Genomic DNA, 19,017 nt, shown 5'->3' with positions numbered 1-19,017 from the left:
CCACTTGATCATGGTGGATAAGCTTTTTGATGTGCTGCTGGATTCGGTTTGCCAGTATTTTATTGAGGATTTTTGCATCAATGTTCATCAAGGATATTGGTCTAAAACTCTCTTTTTTGGTTGTGTCTCTGCCCAGCTTTGGTATCAGAATGATGCTGGCCTCAGAAAATGAGTTAGGGAGGATTCCCTCTTTTTCTATTGATTGGAATAGTTTCAGAAGGAATGGTACCAGTTCCTCCTTGTACCTCTGGTAGAATTCGGCTGTGAATCCATCTGGTCCTGGACTCTTTTTGGTTGGTAAACTATTGATTATTGCCACAATTTCAGAGCCTGTTATTGGTCTATTCAGAGATTCAACTTCTTCCTGGTTTAGTCCTGGGAGAGTGTATGTGTCGAGGAATGTATCCATTTCTTCTAGATTTTCTAGTTTATTTGCATAGAGGTGTTTGTAGTATTCTCTGATGGTAGTTTGTATTTCTGTGGGATCAGTGGTGATATCCCCTTTATCATTTTTTATTGTGTCTATTTGATTCTTCTCTCTTTTTTTCTTTATTAGTCTTGCTAGTGGTCTATCAATTTTGTTGATCCTTTCAAAAAACCAGCTCCTGGATTCATTGATTTTTTGAAGGGTTTTTTGTGTCTCTATTTCCTTCAGTTCTGCTCTGATTTTAGTTATTTCTTGCCTTCTGCTAGCTTTTGAATGTGTTTGCTCTTGCTTTTCTAGTTCATTTAATTGTGATGTTAGGGTGTCAATTTTGGATCTTTCCTGCTTTCTCTTGTGGGCATTTAGTGCTATAAATTTCCCTCTACACACTGCTTTGAATGCATCCCAGAGATTCTGGTATGTTCTGTCTTTGTTCTCGTTGGTTTCAAAGAACATCTTTATTTCTGCCTTCATTTCGTTATGTACCCAGTAGTCATTCAGGAGCAGGTTGTTCAGTTTCCATGTAGTTGAGCGGCTTTGAGTGAGATTCTTAATCCTGAGTTCTAGTTTGATTGCACTGTGGTCTGAGAGATAGTTTGTTATAATTTCTGTTCTTTTACATTTGCTGAGGAGAGCTTTACTTCCAAGTATGTGGTCAATTTTGGAATAGGTGTGGTGTGGTGCTGAAAAAAATGTATGTTCTGTTGATTTGGGGTGGAGAGTTCTGTAGATGTCTATTAGGTCCGCTTGGTGCAGAGCTGAGTTCAATTCCTGGGTATCCTTGTTGACTTTCTGTCTCGTTGATCTGTCTAATGTTGACAGTGGGGTGTTAAAGTCTCCCATTATTAATGTGTGGGAGTCTAAGTCTCTTTGTAGGTCACTCAGGACTTGCTTTATGAATCTGGGTGCTCCTGTATTGGGTGCATATATATTTAGGATAGTTAGCTCCTCTTGTTGAATTGATCCCTTTACCATTATGTAATGGCCTTCTTTGTCTCTTTTGATCTTTGTTGGTTTAAAGTCTGTTTTATCAGAGACTAGGGTTACAACCCCTGCCTTTTTTTGTTTTCCATTTGCTTGGCAGATCTTCCTCCATCCTTTATTTTGAGCCTATGTGTGTCTCTGCACGTGAGATGGGTTTCCTGAATACAGCACACTGATGGGTCTTGACTCTTTATCCAATTTGCCAGTCTGTGTCTTTTAATTGGAGCATTTAGTCCATTTACATTTAAAGTTAATATTGTTATGTGTGAATTTGATCCTGTCATTATGATGTTAGCTGGTGATTTTGCTCGTTAGTTGATGCAGTTTCTTCCTAGTCTCGATGGTCTTTACATTTTGGCATGATTTTGCAGCGGCTGGTACCGGTTGTTCCTGTCCATGTTTAGCACTTCCTTCAGGAGCTCTTTTAGGGCAGGCCTGGTGGTGACAAAATCTCTCAGCATTTGCTTGTCTATAAAGTATTTTATTTCTCCTTTGCTTATGAAGCTTAGTTTGGCTGGATATGAAATTCTGGGTTGAAAATTCTTTTCTTTAAGAATGTTGAATATTGGCCCCCACTCTCTTCTGGCTTGTAGGGTTTCTGCCAAGAGATCCGCTGTTAGTCTGATGGGCTTCCCTTTGAGGGTAACCCGACCTTTCTCTCTGGCTGCCCTTCACATTTTTTCCTTCATTTCAACTTTGGTGAATCTGACAACTATGTGTCTTGGAGTTGCTCTTCTCGAGGAGTATCTTTGTGGCGTTCTCTGTATTTCCTGAATCTGAACGTTGGCCTGCCTTGCTAGATTGGGGAAGTTCTCCTGGATAATATCCTGCAGAGTGTTTTCCCACTTGGTTCCATTCTCCCCATCACTTTCAGGTACACCAATCAGACGTAGATTTGGTCTTTTCACATAGTCCCATATTTCTTGGAGGCTTTGCTCATTTCTTTTTATTCTTTTTTCTCTAAACTTCCCTTCTCGCTTCATTTCATTCATTTCATCTTCCATTGCTGATACCCTTTCTTCCAGTTGATCGCATCAGCTCCTGAGGCTTCTGCATTCTTCACGTAGTTCTCGAGCCTTGGTTTTCAGCTCCATCAGCTCCTTTAAGCACTTCTCTGTATTGGTTATTCTAGTTATACATTCTTCTAAATTTTTTTCAAAGTTTTCAACTTCTTTGCCTTTGGTTTGAATGTCCTCCCGTAGCTCAGAGTAATTTGATCGTCTGAAGCCTTCTTCTCTCAGCTCGTCAAAATCATTCTCCATCCAGCTTTGTTCCGTTGCTGGTGAGGAACTGCGTTCCTTTGGAGGAGGAGAGGCGCTCTGCATTTTAGAGTTTCCAGTTTTTCTGTTCTGTTTTTTCCCCGTCTTTGTGGTTTTATCTACTTTTGGTCTTTGATGATGGTGATGTACAGATGGGTTTTTGGTGTGGATGTCCTTTCTGTTTGTTAGTTTCCCTTCTAACAGACAGGACCCTCAGCTGCAGGTCTGTTGGAATACCCTGCCGTGTGAGGTGTCAGTGTGCCCCTGCTGGGGGGTGCCTCCCAGTTAGGCTGCTCAGGGGTCAGAGGTCAGGGACCCACTTGAGGAGGCAGTCTGCCCGTCCTCAGATCTCCAGCTGCGTGCTGGGAGAACCACTGGTCTCTTCAAAGCTGTCAGACGGGCATTTAAGTCTGCAGAGGTTACTGCTGTCTTTTTGTTTGTCTGTGCCCTGCCCCCAGAGGTGGAGCCTACAGAGGCAGGCAGGCCTCCTTGAGCTGTGGTGGGCTCCACCCAGTTCGAGCTTCCCAGCTGCTTTGTTTACCTAATCAAGCCTGGGCAATGGCGGGGGCCCTCCCCCAGCCTCGCTGCCGCCTTGCAGTTTGATCTCAGACTGCTGTGCTAGCAATGAGGGAGACTCCGTGGGCGTAGGACCCTCCGAGCCAGGTGTGGGATATAGTCTCGTGGTGCGCCGTTTTTTAAGCCGGTCTGAAAAGCGCAATATTCGGGTCGGAGTGACCCAATTTTCCAGGTGCGTCCATCACCCCTTTCTTTGACTTGGAAAGGGAACTCCCTGACCCCTTGCGCGTCCCAGGTGAGGCAATGCCTCGCCCTGCTTCGGCTCGCGCCCGGTGCGCGCACCCACTGGCCTGCGCCCACTGTCTGGCACTCCCTAGTGAGATGAACCCGGTACCTCAGATGGAAATGCAGAAATCACCGGTCTTCTGCATCGCTCACGCTGGGAGCTGTAGACCGGAGCTGTTCCTATTCGGCCATCTTGGCTCCTCCAGTCGGCTGATAGAATCTTAACAGGCCATGTGGCATTTTACTAAGCCTTTTTAACTGCTTTAATTTCATTTTTAATTCAAAGTTACTAATATTTTGACCTCCACTTCCGATATTTAGATATCCTCAGTTTGAAGCTAAAAAGACAGCCCTTGGTATGGGATAAGCAAGATACCCTAGAAATCAATTCAACCTCGAGCCTCTATAAAGGCAAAACTTGCATTAAAACTTGAACTAGGCTTCCCCCACCCTCCAGAAAGAGTCGTGAGTTCTAAGACACAGGCTAGAGGAAGCCATATTGGCTGCAGGGGCTGGAGGAGTGGACCCTGCTTCTGACAGGGCATCAAGGAAATGGGAACAGAAACCATCTGCTGAGGGCACAAAGCCACTGTCACAGTGTCTGTCATGTTGTGGGGTGTTAGTTGGTGTTAAAGGGCAGAAAGAGATGCCAGAGTTTGGACTTTGTGGGGCAGGAAGGACCGCTGAACTGGGGAGTCAAGACATATATCCCCAAACCACACATCAACTTCCAGTGGTAACCTCTGGCAGCAGGAGATCCCAGCCCCAATCAGAGGTTGAATAATAAGCCTCTTGACTCTTAGCTTAGATTATATTCTTATTTTACTTTAGATCTAGTGAATATATCTTGATTATATCCCCAATTTCTTTAATTATTCTTTAATAGTCTGCATTCTGGTGATTATTCTTTAATAGTCTGCATTCTAGTAAATTTGGCTATAAGTTTAACAAACAGCCGTTTATGATTTGAGCTTTTGGGTAGCTTCAAACTGGGAAAGATATGTAACATGAGAAAGAACATTGAAGTACAACCTTGGCTTTAAAACAGGGTTTGAACCACATAAAGCTATCTCCGATTTTAGACATGATTCACACTCCTGCAATCATGAGTCATTATGGCTATGGATATTGTTATCATTTTGTTTCATCTGAACAGCAAGTTACTATCCTAGAGATAATCAGTATGAAAATTAAAGTTTCTCTTCATCAGTAACAAGATAATCCTAACATAACCAAGTCCCCCAAAATATTTATAAAACATATTTTGGTTGTACTAACTGGATCACTTTGTATCCAGTCCTTTAGTTCCCATGATGATTTGGAAACATTTCTTTAATATGCTCCAGGTTAATTTATCATCTCTAAATTGATCTGCTAATTGAAAGCTGCAGAAAATATTATTACCCCACAGATAACTGGATAGTCCTCCTTATCTCCAAATACATAAGAATTCAGAATTCACTGTGATAACCACAGTCATAGTGTTATCTTAGGCTACAGTGGATGCCTAGTGAGACAATCACTGAACTGCATTAAGAAATGGAATAGGAGTAGATATGGCTTTCTCAATTATCTCTCGTCTGGCTGACAGTCTAAGATATTGGATGACCCTTTCATTGTCCTCTTTTTAAAAGGTTGTAACTGTGGAGCATATCTATTTCTGTTTTCTTTCTAACCCACCTTAAGAATTATCCTGGTTTATCAGTTATTTTTTCCATCTAGCCAAACCTGTATTTCATGCACTATGACCATTAGATGAAGGTCAGAGAGAATTAAGATCTGGCCTTAATACTCAATAGAGTAATATGTTCCAAAAATTAGATTTTAGATTCCTCTGGAGAAGTTCTCTCATTGTAATCACTAGGTGGTTAAAATGTTGAGGGACATGATGACAAGGAGAATAGGTGAAAGTACAGAAAAAAAAGTGATGTGGATACTTATTTAAAAATCTGGACAAATTTAGCTTACAAAACAGAAGTCTTGTGAGAGAGTTTGACAATTGAAGAACACAAGGGAAGTTCTATCAAAAGGGAAAAGAATTAACTACCTCTCTAAAGTTGCAGGTTTGCAGACCTATGACAAGATCATTATTAATTTCTGAAACAAAGTAGTAATTTTCCAATTACTAATAGTGTTCAAAGAAAAGATTGAGTGATGAGCTCTAAGGTTTCCTTGAAACTCCACATTGAAATGTTAGGTTTCTTTTCCGTCTGCCTATAACATTCTCCAAATTTGCCTCTGTCTGCAAACACAAAAATTATTTGCTGCCTCAAGACTCAGCTGAAGTTCCACCTCCACAGTGATGCCTGACTAAGACTGATCTACAAGGTCTTAGTTCACTTCTCAGCTCTAGTGGCATCTCCTAATTGTGTAGAAAATAAAAGTATTTACACAAAATGTTAGTAGATGCTGGGTGTTTTATCATTAAGTCAATTTGGAAAATATTCCATTAAGGTTAAACAGGCTTGGTTAATATATGAGTTCTGAGATTGAGAAATGTCGTGTGTTAATGTGAAAGTTAAGAGTGAAGTATGAGATGACAAATTTTATAGTTGTGTTTAATCAAAACACTTTTTCAGTGTCTGGCAGAACTAGTAAGTATTCTGTAGATCACCTTTGAGAAACCCTCTCATCACAGGATAATTGTGATCTAAAGCATTTATTTTATATTTAATTGTTTGTCATCTTTAATTGTTCAACTTTCCATATCTTTCCTTGAGGAGCATGTCTTGCATATACTTTCTTGAAGTCAAGGCATATGTGATAAAAACTGTGCAGACTCTCCTCTCAGTCACAGTGCCTAATATGACATTGAGAAGCAATGAATATTTTAAAAAATTAATCTCAATATATTTTCAATTGGGAGAATCTCCCTGCTGGTTTGTTCACACCTTTACCAGACTGTCAACAGCTACATTTTTGCGTACAGGAGTCTGTTTTCACAGTGATACACATATAACTTATTCTATTAAAGCATATATAACACCTATGCTAACTTACCGGACATGTAAAAAAGTCATATACTATGTTAATTTTAGCAAATGAAGAGTTTTTTAAGGAGTAAGAAGAATCATACTTTCCCAAAAAGTCTCCATATCCATCACTAACAGTCACATGAATTCTTACTTTCTTAGTTAACAAAATTGCCCTTAAACCAAAATTCTCTTATTTGAATTATATTTTATTTGTGAATTACCTTGTAAAATGAGAATATTTTTAGTTAAAAATTCCATTAAACTCTCTTGAAAACTTATATGAGTTAGTGTAATTCCCAGCATGACATTTTCTTTCTCATTGCAGGGCATATCCTTAGAGCAATGACTCTAATTTTCACCCAGCAGTTCTTTCTTCATTATGATCACCCTTTTGGATTTTCCATGGATTGGTGCCATTACATCCACCTTCTCTCAATCTTCATGGTTAATCCTATTTTCAATGACATGTAGTCCTATGAATTAGCTCCTCCTTAAGTATAAATATTATTTGTCTAAATCTCAATAATTCTGGGTTATGATATACGTGCCTTGTCATTTTGTTAGTACATGAAGTTTGATTTATAATACATGTCAATCTGCAAATTTCTGAAACATAATTCCAGGTTGAAGGAAGAAAAAGTGAGACTATAGCAAGTAGGAAGGTATTAGATTTTACCAAAGAAATGGTTTCATGATTTCATTGAAATATATCATCAATATTTTCAAATTCAAAGAATGCTTTTGTTAAATTCTTAAAAGACATATAAATTAACTTTTTAAAACTTGACCTTTATTTCCCACATAAGTGAAAATCACAATATGCCATAGGCCTATGTAATGATCAGTGGTTCACAATATGGAATTTAATGATAGAAACTATCATATTATTATTAAATCTTCCATCTGGGTACTGAAAATGCAAGAGCAGTGTGATTTTTACATAATTATTCTTTAAAATAAACTTTAATGCAGAAAAATCACAAAGTTTCTTGCTTTTGAAGTGACTCATAAGGTTTGCATGTAAAACCATCAACTACTCCAATGAGAAAAAAATGTGAGAGAATCACAATATCATTCGTACATACATACATACACTGTTGTGTAAGATGCTATGTGTTCTGCTATATCTGATACAAGGAGTTTTTTGCATCTGAACTCAATCTCGAGCCAGCCATGGCTTTCTTTTTTCCTTCATCTTCTCCTTTTCTAAACTGTGAAACTTTTATCTGGTTAGGTAACATATTTAAATTTGTAATATTGAAATAAAATTGTTCCTTCAGTGGGTCCTGGCTTTTAGTTTGAGAAGGACAGATATAGTGCCAGAAAATTCAGTGCTGTGGTGATTTGGGAAAAAAATGATATTTGTATGGAATCCTTCTGTCTGAAGTTGATTCAGTATATTTTCAAGGTTTGCTCAACTCTAGAATCCTATTGGTATTTAAGGTTAACTTCTTTTCATATATAGGAGACAATCCTGGAACATTTTTTGTTTGTTTGTTTCAGACTTTTAGGTGTTCTGGTATGGTTAAGAGCCTTAACGGTGTTCTATAGTGAGCTTCAAAGCACCCCTCTGTTAATGAGTCTGATTGGGCATAGGTCTTCATTTCTCTGGTTTAGCTGTGGGCTATTCTGGATAATACATTTGACATAATTACTAAATTAGCTCCTCTACTTCTCAGTTCTATGAGGTTCAGAGAGTGAGCCAAATTTGGTTATTTTATAAGGAATATAGCCATTTTCACCTAATAGAAATGGGAAAAAATGAGAGTTTTTAGAATTACTCACTGAAAGATGCAAAATTTATGTAAAATTGGGAAAAATACTGAAGAAATTTGAAGAAAAATGTCTGTGACGAAATAAGCTTCTTTTGGGAACAGACTGGTTGGCTCTTTCAATTGTGCCTCTAACAGATTCTTCCTATTTTCTTGCTAATACAATCTGGTTTTGTTAGGAAACTGATGAGGATGTGCTAAGAGAAAGTGAGCCCTATGCACTCTAGGACTTTTTGCTCTGTGAAAACCATGGAAATTCCTTTCTCTTTTATTAAAGATTAATTTGGAGTTGAACATCTGACCCAATTCAGTTTAATAAGAAGTCAGGGAATTTTGCCAGAGAATTAATAAAAGAGAGATGTAAAGAAATGCCCCCCCCCCCCACCTTGGCCCCCATTTTCCTTACTGCCTTGGAGACATGATGCTTGCAGTATTGATGTACAACTTGCAAACATATGGGGACACCAAGAGATGTGCAGAGCAGCTGATTGAGATCCCTGACACTGGTGATCTTCTGAATTAATCAACCATGGACTTACCTCTTTTCTGGATTTTTGTCATGTGAGACAATAAATGTGCATAGTTTAAGCCATGTTCAGTTTAAAAAAATGCTACCTAAAATGTTGTGGTATGTCGCTGTGTGTATCCAGGTAAAGAATTTAAACCTGCTAGAATAATGCCAGGTATGTCCCCAAGGTCACTAGAGAGCCTCTTGAACTAGCAAATGAGTGCCACACTAATTGCTTTTAGACTGTCTTCAGTAAAAGCCTCTATTTGTGGCCCACAGGCCTTCAAACAGACTTCATTGATCTGTAAGGTAGGAGTAGTCACTCGTCAATTTGTGCCATATCCCTGTTGTTATGTCCTTGCCCACTTTACATATTTGTATGATCTAATTGCCTACTGTTGGCATGTGAATTGAGCTTTTTGGTTAAAGGCTTATAGAATTAATTCTAGAAACATTTATGCAAACATCTTAAGGTATTAAAAAAGAACACTTGCGATATTTTCAAATATTTCCTACATCAATTCCACCACCAAATATTTATTCTATGAATATAAATGTTCCAGTGTGTAAATATGTAGGTATATTATATTAATCTTTAGAACAGTGATAATTTTAATAAAATCATGAAAAACTTAACCAATAAAATAAAATATGCTACATGCAGTTTTGAAAAAATGTTGTTTCTCTTCATTTTTCATATTTATCTCAGTTTGATCTATTATAATAAAAATAGAATAACTGATCTAGCAACTGGGAAGGAATGTGTATAAAATACATAAAACAATTTTGCATAGATACAAAACAGGTGAATTTTATGATTTTTGGTTAACATCCATAATGCCTGTCATGGTCATGTTACACATAGAATAAGCACTCAATCTCGGTTTTGATTGTGCTTATAGAATTATATTTGTGGAGCATTTCTTATGGAAATTTGCATATTTAAATTACAAGCCAAATTAGAGAAGAACTATACTGACATAACTGAGGATGGCAAAGGAAATTGTGAGCCACCCAAAAGTCTGCAATAATTTGTGAAAATATCCATCACTGACATATCAATTTAGAGTAACTTTTCTTAAAAAGTCTGCATTGCAGTCTCTACTCTTGGTTCTACCACTCTTAGGCACTAGAAAAGTGATGTAATTCCTTTGAATTTAAATTACCTTTTAATGTTGATTATATCTTCCTCTGCCTACCTTCAAATATATGAATATAAATGACAAAAATGTATATGAATAATCTATAAGGAAAATGTGTTAAATGGTAAAAATATCTTAAGGTATTTGAAAAAGGTAACATTAACATTTTGGTCAAAGAATATTAATATTTAGGATGTTTGTTGATACTGTAGAGAATGCAAATAAATTAGAATCTTTTGAAAGTGAAGTACTAAATAAATTGACTTCAAAAATGTGTGTTTTTATATTAATTTTCCTTCAGTTATATTTATCTTTAACCTTAGCAAATTGCCACATTCATAACATATTTTGTGAGTGAATTTATATGAACTTTATACATTTTAAATTAGAATTTGCCTTATAATGTTCTAGAAAGGGAATAAGCTACTACTTGTAGGACAGAAGAGCAAGGACCCACTAAACCTTTCATTTATATTTTCTCTTAATCTTAAATTATACCTAAGTGTCCTAGTATTGACTAGACAGTGATGTAACCAAGGTAAACACGAAGTCCCTGGAAGTTTATGGTTTTCAAAATAAAACAATAAAGCAGGTAGAATATTAGTTCATAAACCTACCCATTTGTGCCAAAAAGTGTGTAACAAAAATAAGCAAGTTATTTTCAAGGATATTTCTATGTACATTTTCAAGTGCGTATGGTGTTCTTTGGATGTGAAGATTATTTAATGCTATGAAGTGCTGAGTGCCTTGGAGGGAAGATTGATAAGACATGTCATAAAGTGTGGAATCAGGAATGAAAAAAATAGAGAAATAAAAGTTTATAAGAAGTGGAGTACAGATTATAGAAGGAAATGTAGTTTAGAACGGAGGGCTTATTCTTCACAGGGTGGACAGTGTTTCTTATAGCAGAGTAAGAAGAATTTAATTCTACTAAATCTTTGGACTGACGTGTATTCAAGTTCTAGCTCTACATGGTCTCAAGGCCAAATTAATTATACTTGTTGATCTTATTCCTTTAATCTCTAAAATGGACAGAAGAAGAAGATTTACCAAATGATTGAAAATATGTGTAGTGCTTAGGCTGCTCTGTGTAAAGCAACCTAAAGGTACCCAGAATGCTGCAGTAGTAATAGAAGTGGGAGGAGTAGGAGATGGAGAAAATTCAGGTGGACAAAAAGCAGCAAGGTACGTAGCTGGTGCAGGAGTAGAGGAGGAAGAAGGCGGGATAAGTTGTGATTCTCGTTGTGTAGTTCATAAAAGTATATACTTAAAAGAAACTGAAGCTACTCCTATGCCCATAGCAAACAGAGAAATGTTGGAATAATGCATGGTATTCAAAAACGAATAACATAACAGTCATTGAAAAGAAGCATGAGTATTAAAAGGAACTCATATTGGCAAACCTAAGCCCCATATCTAGTGATAAAGACAAGAAACTCCTGGATGTGGGAGACACTTACTTGTGGGAGAAGACTGTTCCTCACCTCTTCCACTGCTGCCTGCACACCTGCGTTGGTAATGAGTGAGAGGTGTGGAGGGATGATCATTTATGATGGAGTCACAAAAAACACAGCAGCAGGCCATGCAGAGACTAAACATGTGGCCCCCAAGTGTTCCCAACTGAAAAAATCTGGGGTTTTACTTTTTGAGGAAGAATAATTTGTGTGCCTGGAACTTGTCTCTGCGATACCACAGGCACTCCCCTCAGAATCCTGACTTACATCAAAGGAACCTCATTATTTATTCATGCATTTAACAGCATGGGATAAAATCCACGCAAGGGGATTTTTTCAGATGATTCCTTATGAGAAAAATATTAATTTTATGTTGGCTATATGATATGATTCCAAAGAAATGCACTGAGGTATCCATGATTAATTGTCAAATGAATATAAATCACTGAAAAGAACAAATCCCAATATCTACCCCTTGATTTAGACTGACAATGCTAAATTTCTTAAAAATTAAATTTGATAAGATTAACACATTATTCAAGAAACATTTGTAGATATTTAAATGCTTTTGGATTGCTTTAGAAACAAAATTCAGAACTTCGTTTTATATTTTCAGTCAGCTGTTGAACAGAAACATTGTAGAGTGTGTGTGTGTCTGTGTGTGTGTGTGTTTAAATTTTTATATTTTTTTGGCTATATAAGAATTAAGCTTGAGCTGCTTTATTTGATGTGGTAACAAGATCCAAATCAGGTATTTAAAACATTTACAGGTTGAATATTTATTATTTTCCTCTCATGCAAAATAAATCTTAAATCTGAGCTCACTGTGTATTTAAAGTTAAAATGTTAGCAGCCGCTACATGTCCACTACAGACTTATGAATTGTTAACATGTAAAGCTTTATTAGACTTCTTTGCTAAGTACTTCATTTCAAGTAACTGACATGATTAGCCAGTTTTCAAACTGCAAAATATCTCACTGCTCTCCAATTTTGATTATTACATAACTCTTCTAAAAGTATGAAGAGACATATTTGATTATTACATAACTCTCCTTCTGAAAGCATGAAGTGTCTGTATTTTGAAGTGAAATCTTGAAATTCGTATTATATTTTGTAAACCATTAAGCAAGAGTTAAAGTCACAAATAATATTTCACTCCTTCTGTAGAATGCTGAATGCAGCCAGTTAAGTTTAACCTAAGCATATTTACTTCATCTAAAAATAAGAGTTGAAAAACTTGCTTCAGATTTTTTTTGAAGACTTCTGAATATCATGACCCAAAGATTCATGCTAAATCGTTTTGTTCCAATGAATGAGAGAACATTTCCAGAAATTTCAGGCTTGTCAAAAACATTAATCACCTATTTAAAAATCCATTACCATGAAATGTAACTTTTAAGGAGGAAATACCTTTGTCAGCAAAACTTGTACACATTAAATGTTCACCTAAAAAAGCTGTTGTCATATTCCATTGACATAAATTAAAAGTATTATTTCTGTTTTATTTTATAAGTTTTGAATTGTTTTTGAGAAATTTAATCAAGTTAATTTGCAAAGTTTTTTTTTATAAAAATAAAAAAATGCACATTGAGCCACAACTAAAATTATGAAATAAAGGCTTCATGTTTTGAAAAATGTTTCTGACATCAAGGGCAAGTATAGCAGTATGGAGGGAACAAAGGAGTCTCTTAGGCAGTTCCAACTCAAGGTGATCCTAGTTACATTTCTGATAGGTGAAGGCTTTGGTTTTGAGGAGTGATTCTGACTTGATTGGCAATTTGTTAATGAAGTGATCAAATGCATAAAGGAGACATACTTGTCACCCTTCTCTATTCTTAAATGACAATCATCTGTCTTTACTTTGTGAGCTTTCATGAGTAATTCTGTACTATAGCATAAAAGTAAGTCCTTAAGTGCACTGTCTTATTTATTCTTGTATATGCTATGTGTTTAAGGAATCCTTTCTGTATCTCCAACATTACAGTCTCAATTAGCACAGTAAATAGCATAATGAAAAGGTGTAATGAAACAGGTCATAATAGCTTTTCACAGACATGCCAAATAGATGGATAATGATTGCATTTTCTGTCCTCATCTTAGTTTTAAATCACATGTCTATCTTAATAAATATTGAGTAATAGGTCTCAGAGCTGCAGTCCAAATCTAATTTCTGTGTGAGATTTGAAAAGCTTGTGTATTTTTATGTGCGGATTTTTTTTAAGTTCCGTACTGCAAAGAATATAGTTAGTATAATAGCACAGACTGCTGAATTTATTTAAAAAGAGGAGAATAGACTAAACTTAGAAAGTACCAAGGATTCACCTACAGGATGAGATGTGCTTGTATTGAGCATATTACCACATTGTCAGGAGGTGGCAATTCACCAACTTTTTTTTTTCATCACTATCAGTGATTTTTGAGATTTGCATTTTAAGAAATTATAGCTTAAAGATTTATTCAGTACCTTGCAGTTTACAAAGTTTTTCTCCCAAAATATTCCCTTTCATGATTCTCACAATAATTATTAAAAAAATAGACAGAACATATGTCCCTTATTTCTCAATTTCCATATGAGGAAATGCGAAAAGAGAAAATCCAGGAAACATCCCTACCTCGTGTCAGGGTGGAGCAAAGTCCTGGTTTAAGGCTCTCCGGGTTGTACTCTGCTTTCTTGATTCCTAAGGAAAGAGTGTTTGCTGCTAAAACATATTTTTATACCTCCCATGTTGATTTTAATCCTGCAAAGAAATAGAGAATGTAAGGGAATCACACTAAATGTAAAATTCTGAAAATAAAAATGTGCATTATTTATCTCTCTCTCATGTAAGGCTATGTTCATGGTTCCCAATTCTAAAATAATTCAAACAAGGAGGATGAGATCCCATTGGACCCTCGCAGGATCCTTTGAAGTGTTTAGTAGGCACTAGAGAGAGCTTTTTTTTTTTTTCTTTAAATACTGTGAAAAATTCTGTTTGGTCTTGGAATCTACATAGTCTTGAGAATTGTGAATACTTCTATTTCATCCAGGTCAATAGAGAGTTAGGGTCATCTCACTCTAGCAAGAACTCATGTTCCAACAGCAACTATCCAAAGAAATTTTCTGGAAAACATTAGCCAGAAAGAAATTATGTAAAATCACAAATAAATGCAAGTATTATCTTAATAGATTTAGTTTCTGTAAGTTAAATTTTGCTTTAAAAAGCCATGTGCCATGAAAAGGAAGTAAGATTTTTAAAAAATATTTTTGTTTTATTTAAACAAATTAACAAAAATATTGTAGTAGTCTAGTGCATTTCCACTAATGATTGAGCTAACATTAAATGTTTGGAGGATTGAATACTTACTCTTATTTAGCAGAGAGGATAAACGGTAGACACCCATGTACTTATATTTTCTAGGTGTTCTTTTTTTTAAAGTACATTGCAGTGCATTTCTCATCTAGAAAATTCACTTGGTTTTAAACATTGCTGAGATTCTAAAGAAAATGTGACAGAAAATGTGAAATTAATGTGTCATTAACCATAATGTGATACAATTTCATGGCAAATTGAAGTTCAAAATTTTCCTCTAGAATCATCATCCCTAAGAAAGACATTTCTGTATGAGAGTCTTTGCTGTGGCTGTGTATTTCTGGAGAGACTGGATGTCTGGATGTAGAAAACATGTCTATAACTTTAAGATAAACAATGAAGGTGATAGCAAAACATCTTAAATTACTTGGCTGGGGTGGGTGGGAGGCGGGATACTACCCTTTTCTTCTTGCATTAAAAAAAAAACTAAGCATATTAAAACACATATCTTGCATTTGGCAAAAATCTAAACATGAGAACTTCTTGTTTATGTGACTTTATAAAGCATCTCATAATTCCTGAATTAAAATTCTAGAATTTATCATAGGATTCATTGCTTTCAATGCATATGGTTGATTTTGTTCTAGTATAGAAATGTTACTAAATAAGTTGTGGGTATGTGGAATAGCCAATAGGTTATATTTATTTAAGTTTGTTTATTTTTCTAATTTCCTTGGTTTTTGAATGGTACTGATGCTTATAATTTTTTGAATGTGCATTTAGACTTTCAGATAATCATAAAATTTTCCTTCGTTTCTATTGTCCTTTCTACTCCTAACATGCTTTAGTCGCTTCGGATCCATTCTTCCCTTCACCATTATAAGCTGTAGGGATTTTCCTCAAATCATTTTAGCCTTCAGTGTGATGTGTTCCCTTTTCAACTCAGGTGATTTATTATTTATAAGCCACTTATCCAGCACTTATTCTTAAATTGAATATGTTTAATCTATTGTATTATTTAATTTTGCTTAAAAGTGGCATGCATATTTATGATTTATTACACAACCACATCAAAAGCAAGAACCATGTTTTATACTTTTCTATATTGTCTCTCGTACCTTACCTTCATTAGACACAATAAATTTGGATTCTGAAAATGAACTTCATGTGCACTGGCTGAAATTGAATGCCAATATCCCTTTTTAAGGATTTAAAACATTAAATTTTGAAAGAAATTTGTTTATTTCAAATATATGATTTCACCAATCAAATAAGAAAAGGAGCACTTTAGGTAAGTTCCTAACGTGCACCGTAATGGAATGTGTAATCTCAGGGAATTATTTATGCTAGAAAAGGAAGCACTGTGAAGATACAGCTGTGAATAGGAAAAAAAACTGGAAAGGCTACTTTTCTTGAGGAGTTTGCATTCTAGTCCAGACCTTTTCACTTGATGTGAACTGGATCCCTAGTCTTCAAGGTGACTGCCCAGCACCTGGAAGGGCCCATGGGTTAGTTGCTTCAGATGCACCCATTCTTGTCCCTTCGTTCATATGCCATACAAATATTAGCTTTTTCTCTTTGTGTCAATACATAAATGGTGTCGGGGTAATATATTTCTCTGACTGATTCATTTATTGAAGCAACTAAATGTATTCGTCTTTATTCAGTGCTGTGTACTGAGGACTGTGTGTGTTGCAAAAGCTCTTGGGTTTCTCTTTAGATCACAGTTAGGATTTAATTGCCACAGGATCATTTCTCCCCAGGTTAGGTTTGATCCTTCTATTTTAGTTATTTTGCGTATGCATAACTTTTCATTTCCAAACTCATGTTATTTGCAATTTTACATTTGTTTACATGCATACATACTAATAATTACTCTACAAATAGACTGCCACTTCCACCAAAACAGATGGTATTAGTTTTTGATTATCATTAAATATCTAGCATAGAACAATGATACTTATATGTTAAATGAATAAAGGATATGCATCTTAAAACTTTTCTGTAGTCATAGAATACAATTATTTGTAGAAAAACATGATTTTAACAATAGTCATATTTTATAAGTAGTCCATATCACTTAGATATGAATATTTTGCTCTTTAATACATTGGTAATAACCTGATATAGTTTATACTGAAACTAATGTTTACTCAAAATGTGTGCATTTTTCTTTAGAGTTGCAATTATTTTTGTAACATTTTATTCTGTTGTTGGTTATCACATAAGTACTTACAACTGGCACTTTAAAATTTTGTTTTCTTGGCCGGGCACGGTGGCTCATGCCTGTAACCCCAGCACTTTGGGAGGCCGAGGCGGGCGGATCACGAGGTCAAGAGATTGAGACCATCCTGGCCAACATGGTGGAACCCCGTCTCTATTAAAAACACAAAAATTACCTGGGCCTGGTGGCGGGCACCTGTAGTCTCAGCTACTTGGGAGGCTGAGGCAGGAGAATCACTTGAACCCGGGAGGCAGAGGTTGCAGTGAGCCAAGATGGCACCACTGCACTACAGCCTGGCGATAGAGAGAATCCGTCTCAAAAATAAATAAATAAATAAATAATTGTTTTCTTTTGCCTTTTAGAATATAAGAAATGTGCTTCTGGGAAAATAATACTTAAAGAACAAATTTATGGCCGGGCACGGTGGCTCATGCCTGTAATGCCAGTACTTTGGGAGGCCTGTAATGCCAGCACTTTGGGAGGCCAAGGAGGGCGGATCATGAGGACAGGAGATAGAGACCATCCTGGCTAACACGGTGAAACACCGTCTTTACTAAAAATCAAAAAAAAAAAAAAAAAAAAAAAAAATTAGCCGGGTGTGGTGGCGGGTGCCTGTAGTCCCAGCTACTCGGGAAGCTGAGGCAGGAGAATGGCGTGAACCTGGGAAGCGGGGCTTTCAGTGAGCCGAGATCGCTCCACTGCACTCCAGCCTGGGCTACAGAGTGAGACTCCGTCTCAAAAACAAAAACAAAACTAAACAAAAAGAACAAATTTATAATTCTCAATTCTAGATTCACCTGGGTGGGGGGGTGGGAATGTAAATGGACCTATTTTTAAAACCTTGTCTTTACTAAATCTATATGCCACATTTTTATTTCAAATCCTTGAAACAGGATACAAATTGCCTCAAATTAAAGAAAGACAAATAGAATAAACACACAACTACTTTTAAAAACACAGGTTTATTGAGGTATAACTGGTCTTTTAAAAACTATACACATCTAATATATAAAATTTGATGAGTTTTGACATATGCATACACACACATGAAACAACCACCGCAATCAAGGTAATAGACATATCTACCACTTTCAAAAGTTTCCTTGCATACCTTTTTTCTTTTTCTTTTTTTTTTGTGTTAAAACACTGAACATGCGATCTCACATTTTAACAAATTTGTTAGTACATAATACAATATTGTTAACTCTAGGTGCTGTGCTATATACAGTTGATCCCTAGGACTTATTCGTCTTGTATAGCTGAAGTTTCATAAAAATTGAACAATTATCCATTTTCCCTCTTCCAGCCCTTGGTAACCACTTTCAATTCTATAAGTTCTGGTATAAGCCTGATGTAAAATCTGGTACTTTTGACTGAATAGATCTCTAATAATAGTTTTAATTCCATTTATAGATGTAAGCCCATTAAAATTTTTTCTCTCCACTTGGATTACATTTATTTTAATGTTCTTAGGTAGCAACAATATGTTGGTATAATTTGTCTATAATCTTATTTTTTAAGTTCTCTTTACCTGCCTCATATTTTTCCATATTTTTAGTGCTCTTTTGTTTTTCAGAAGTTTATCTTATTAATCTTTTTAAAAAGCCAAAGTAATGGTTCTCAAAGATAAATTTCTTTAATTAAGTTTATACCTGAGTTCACACTTGCATAATCAACTAAGTGATAATTTGACTGAATATAATTTTTGTTTAAAATCATCTTTTTCCAGAACTCTAAGAAATTATTCCATGGTTTTCAAATATTTCTTACTGACAAATTTATTGTTAATCTTAGATTTTTTGTGTTGTAAGATAGCTGCTTTTTCTTTCAGAAAGCTTTCAAAGGTTTTATCTTTTTAGTTCAGAAGTTTTATGAGGATGCATCTGTTATTGTTTCTTCTTTAAAAAAAATTTGTCTAGCAATTAGTAGGCCCTTTTCACCTAGAAAAACCGGAGACTTTCAACAACAAATATGGCAGATTTGTTACCAGAACCCTGCTTTCTCAGAGCTCAGGGTTTCTTCTACAAATCTATTGGTAACACCTGTCTATTAAATTATCTTAAAATTTCCTCTGTTGCCACCAAGGCAGGAGTTTCTGAGCTCTGCTGAATTTTCCCTTCAATCAGATGTTATTTACTCTGTGCTTTCCAGAGAACCACCAATGTTTGCCTTTGTCTATCTGA

At 35.8% G+C, this 19,017-nt stretch overlaps 1 annotated feature.

Annotated features, from left to right (window-relative positions):
* Positions 3,136–3,430: an enhancer, noted in NCBI's record as "tiled region #11761; K562 Activating non-DNase unmatched - State 3:PromF". NCBI's record gives its function as "activates a minimal TATA promoter and a strong SV40 promoter by Sharpr-MPRA in K562 cells {active_cell/tissue: K562}" and the evidence as "EXISTENCE:reporter gene assay evidence [ECO:0000049][PMID:27701403]".

This window comes from Homo sapiens, chromosome 6 (genome assembly GCF_000001405.40).
Source record: "Homo sapiens chromosome 6, GRCh38.p14 Primary Assembly".
Lineage (NCBI taxonomy): Eukaryota > Metazoa > Chordata > Mammalia > Primates > Hominidae > Homo > Homo sapiens.
Note: the sequence above shows the minus strand (reverse complement) of the source record. Positions and strands in the feature narration are given on the sequence as shown.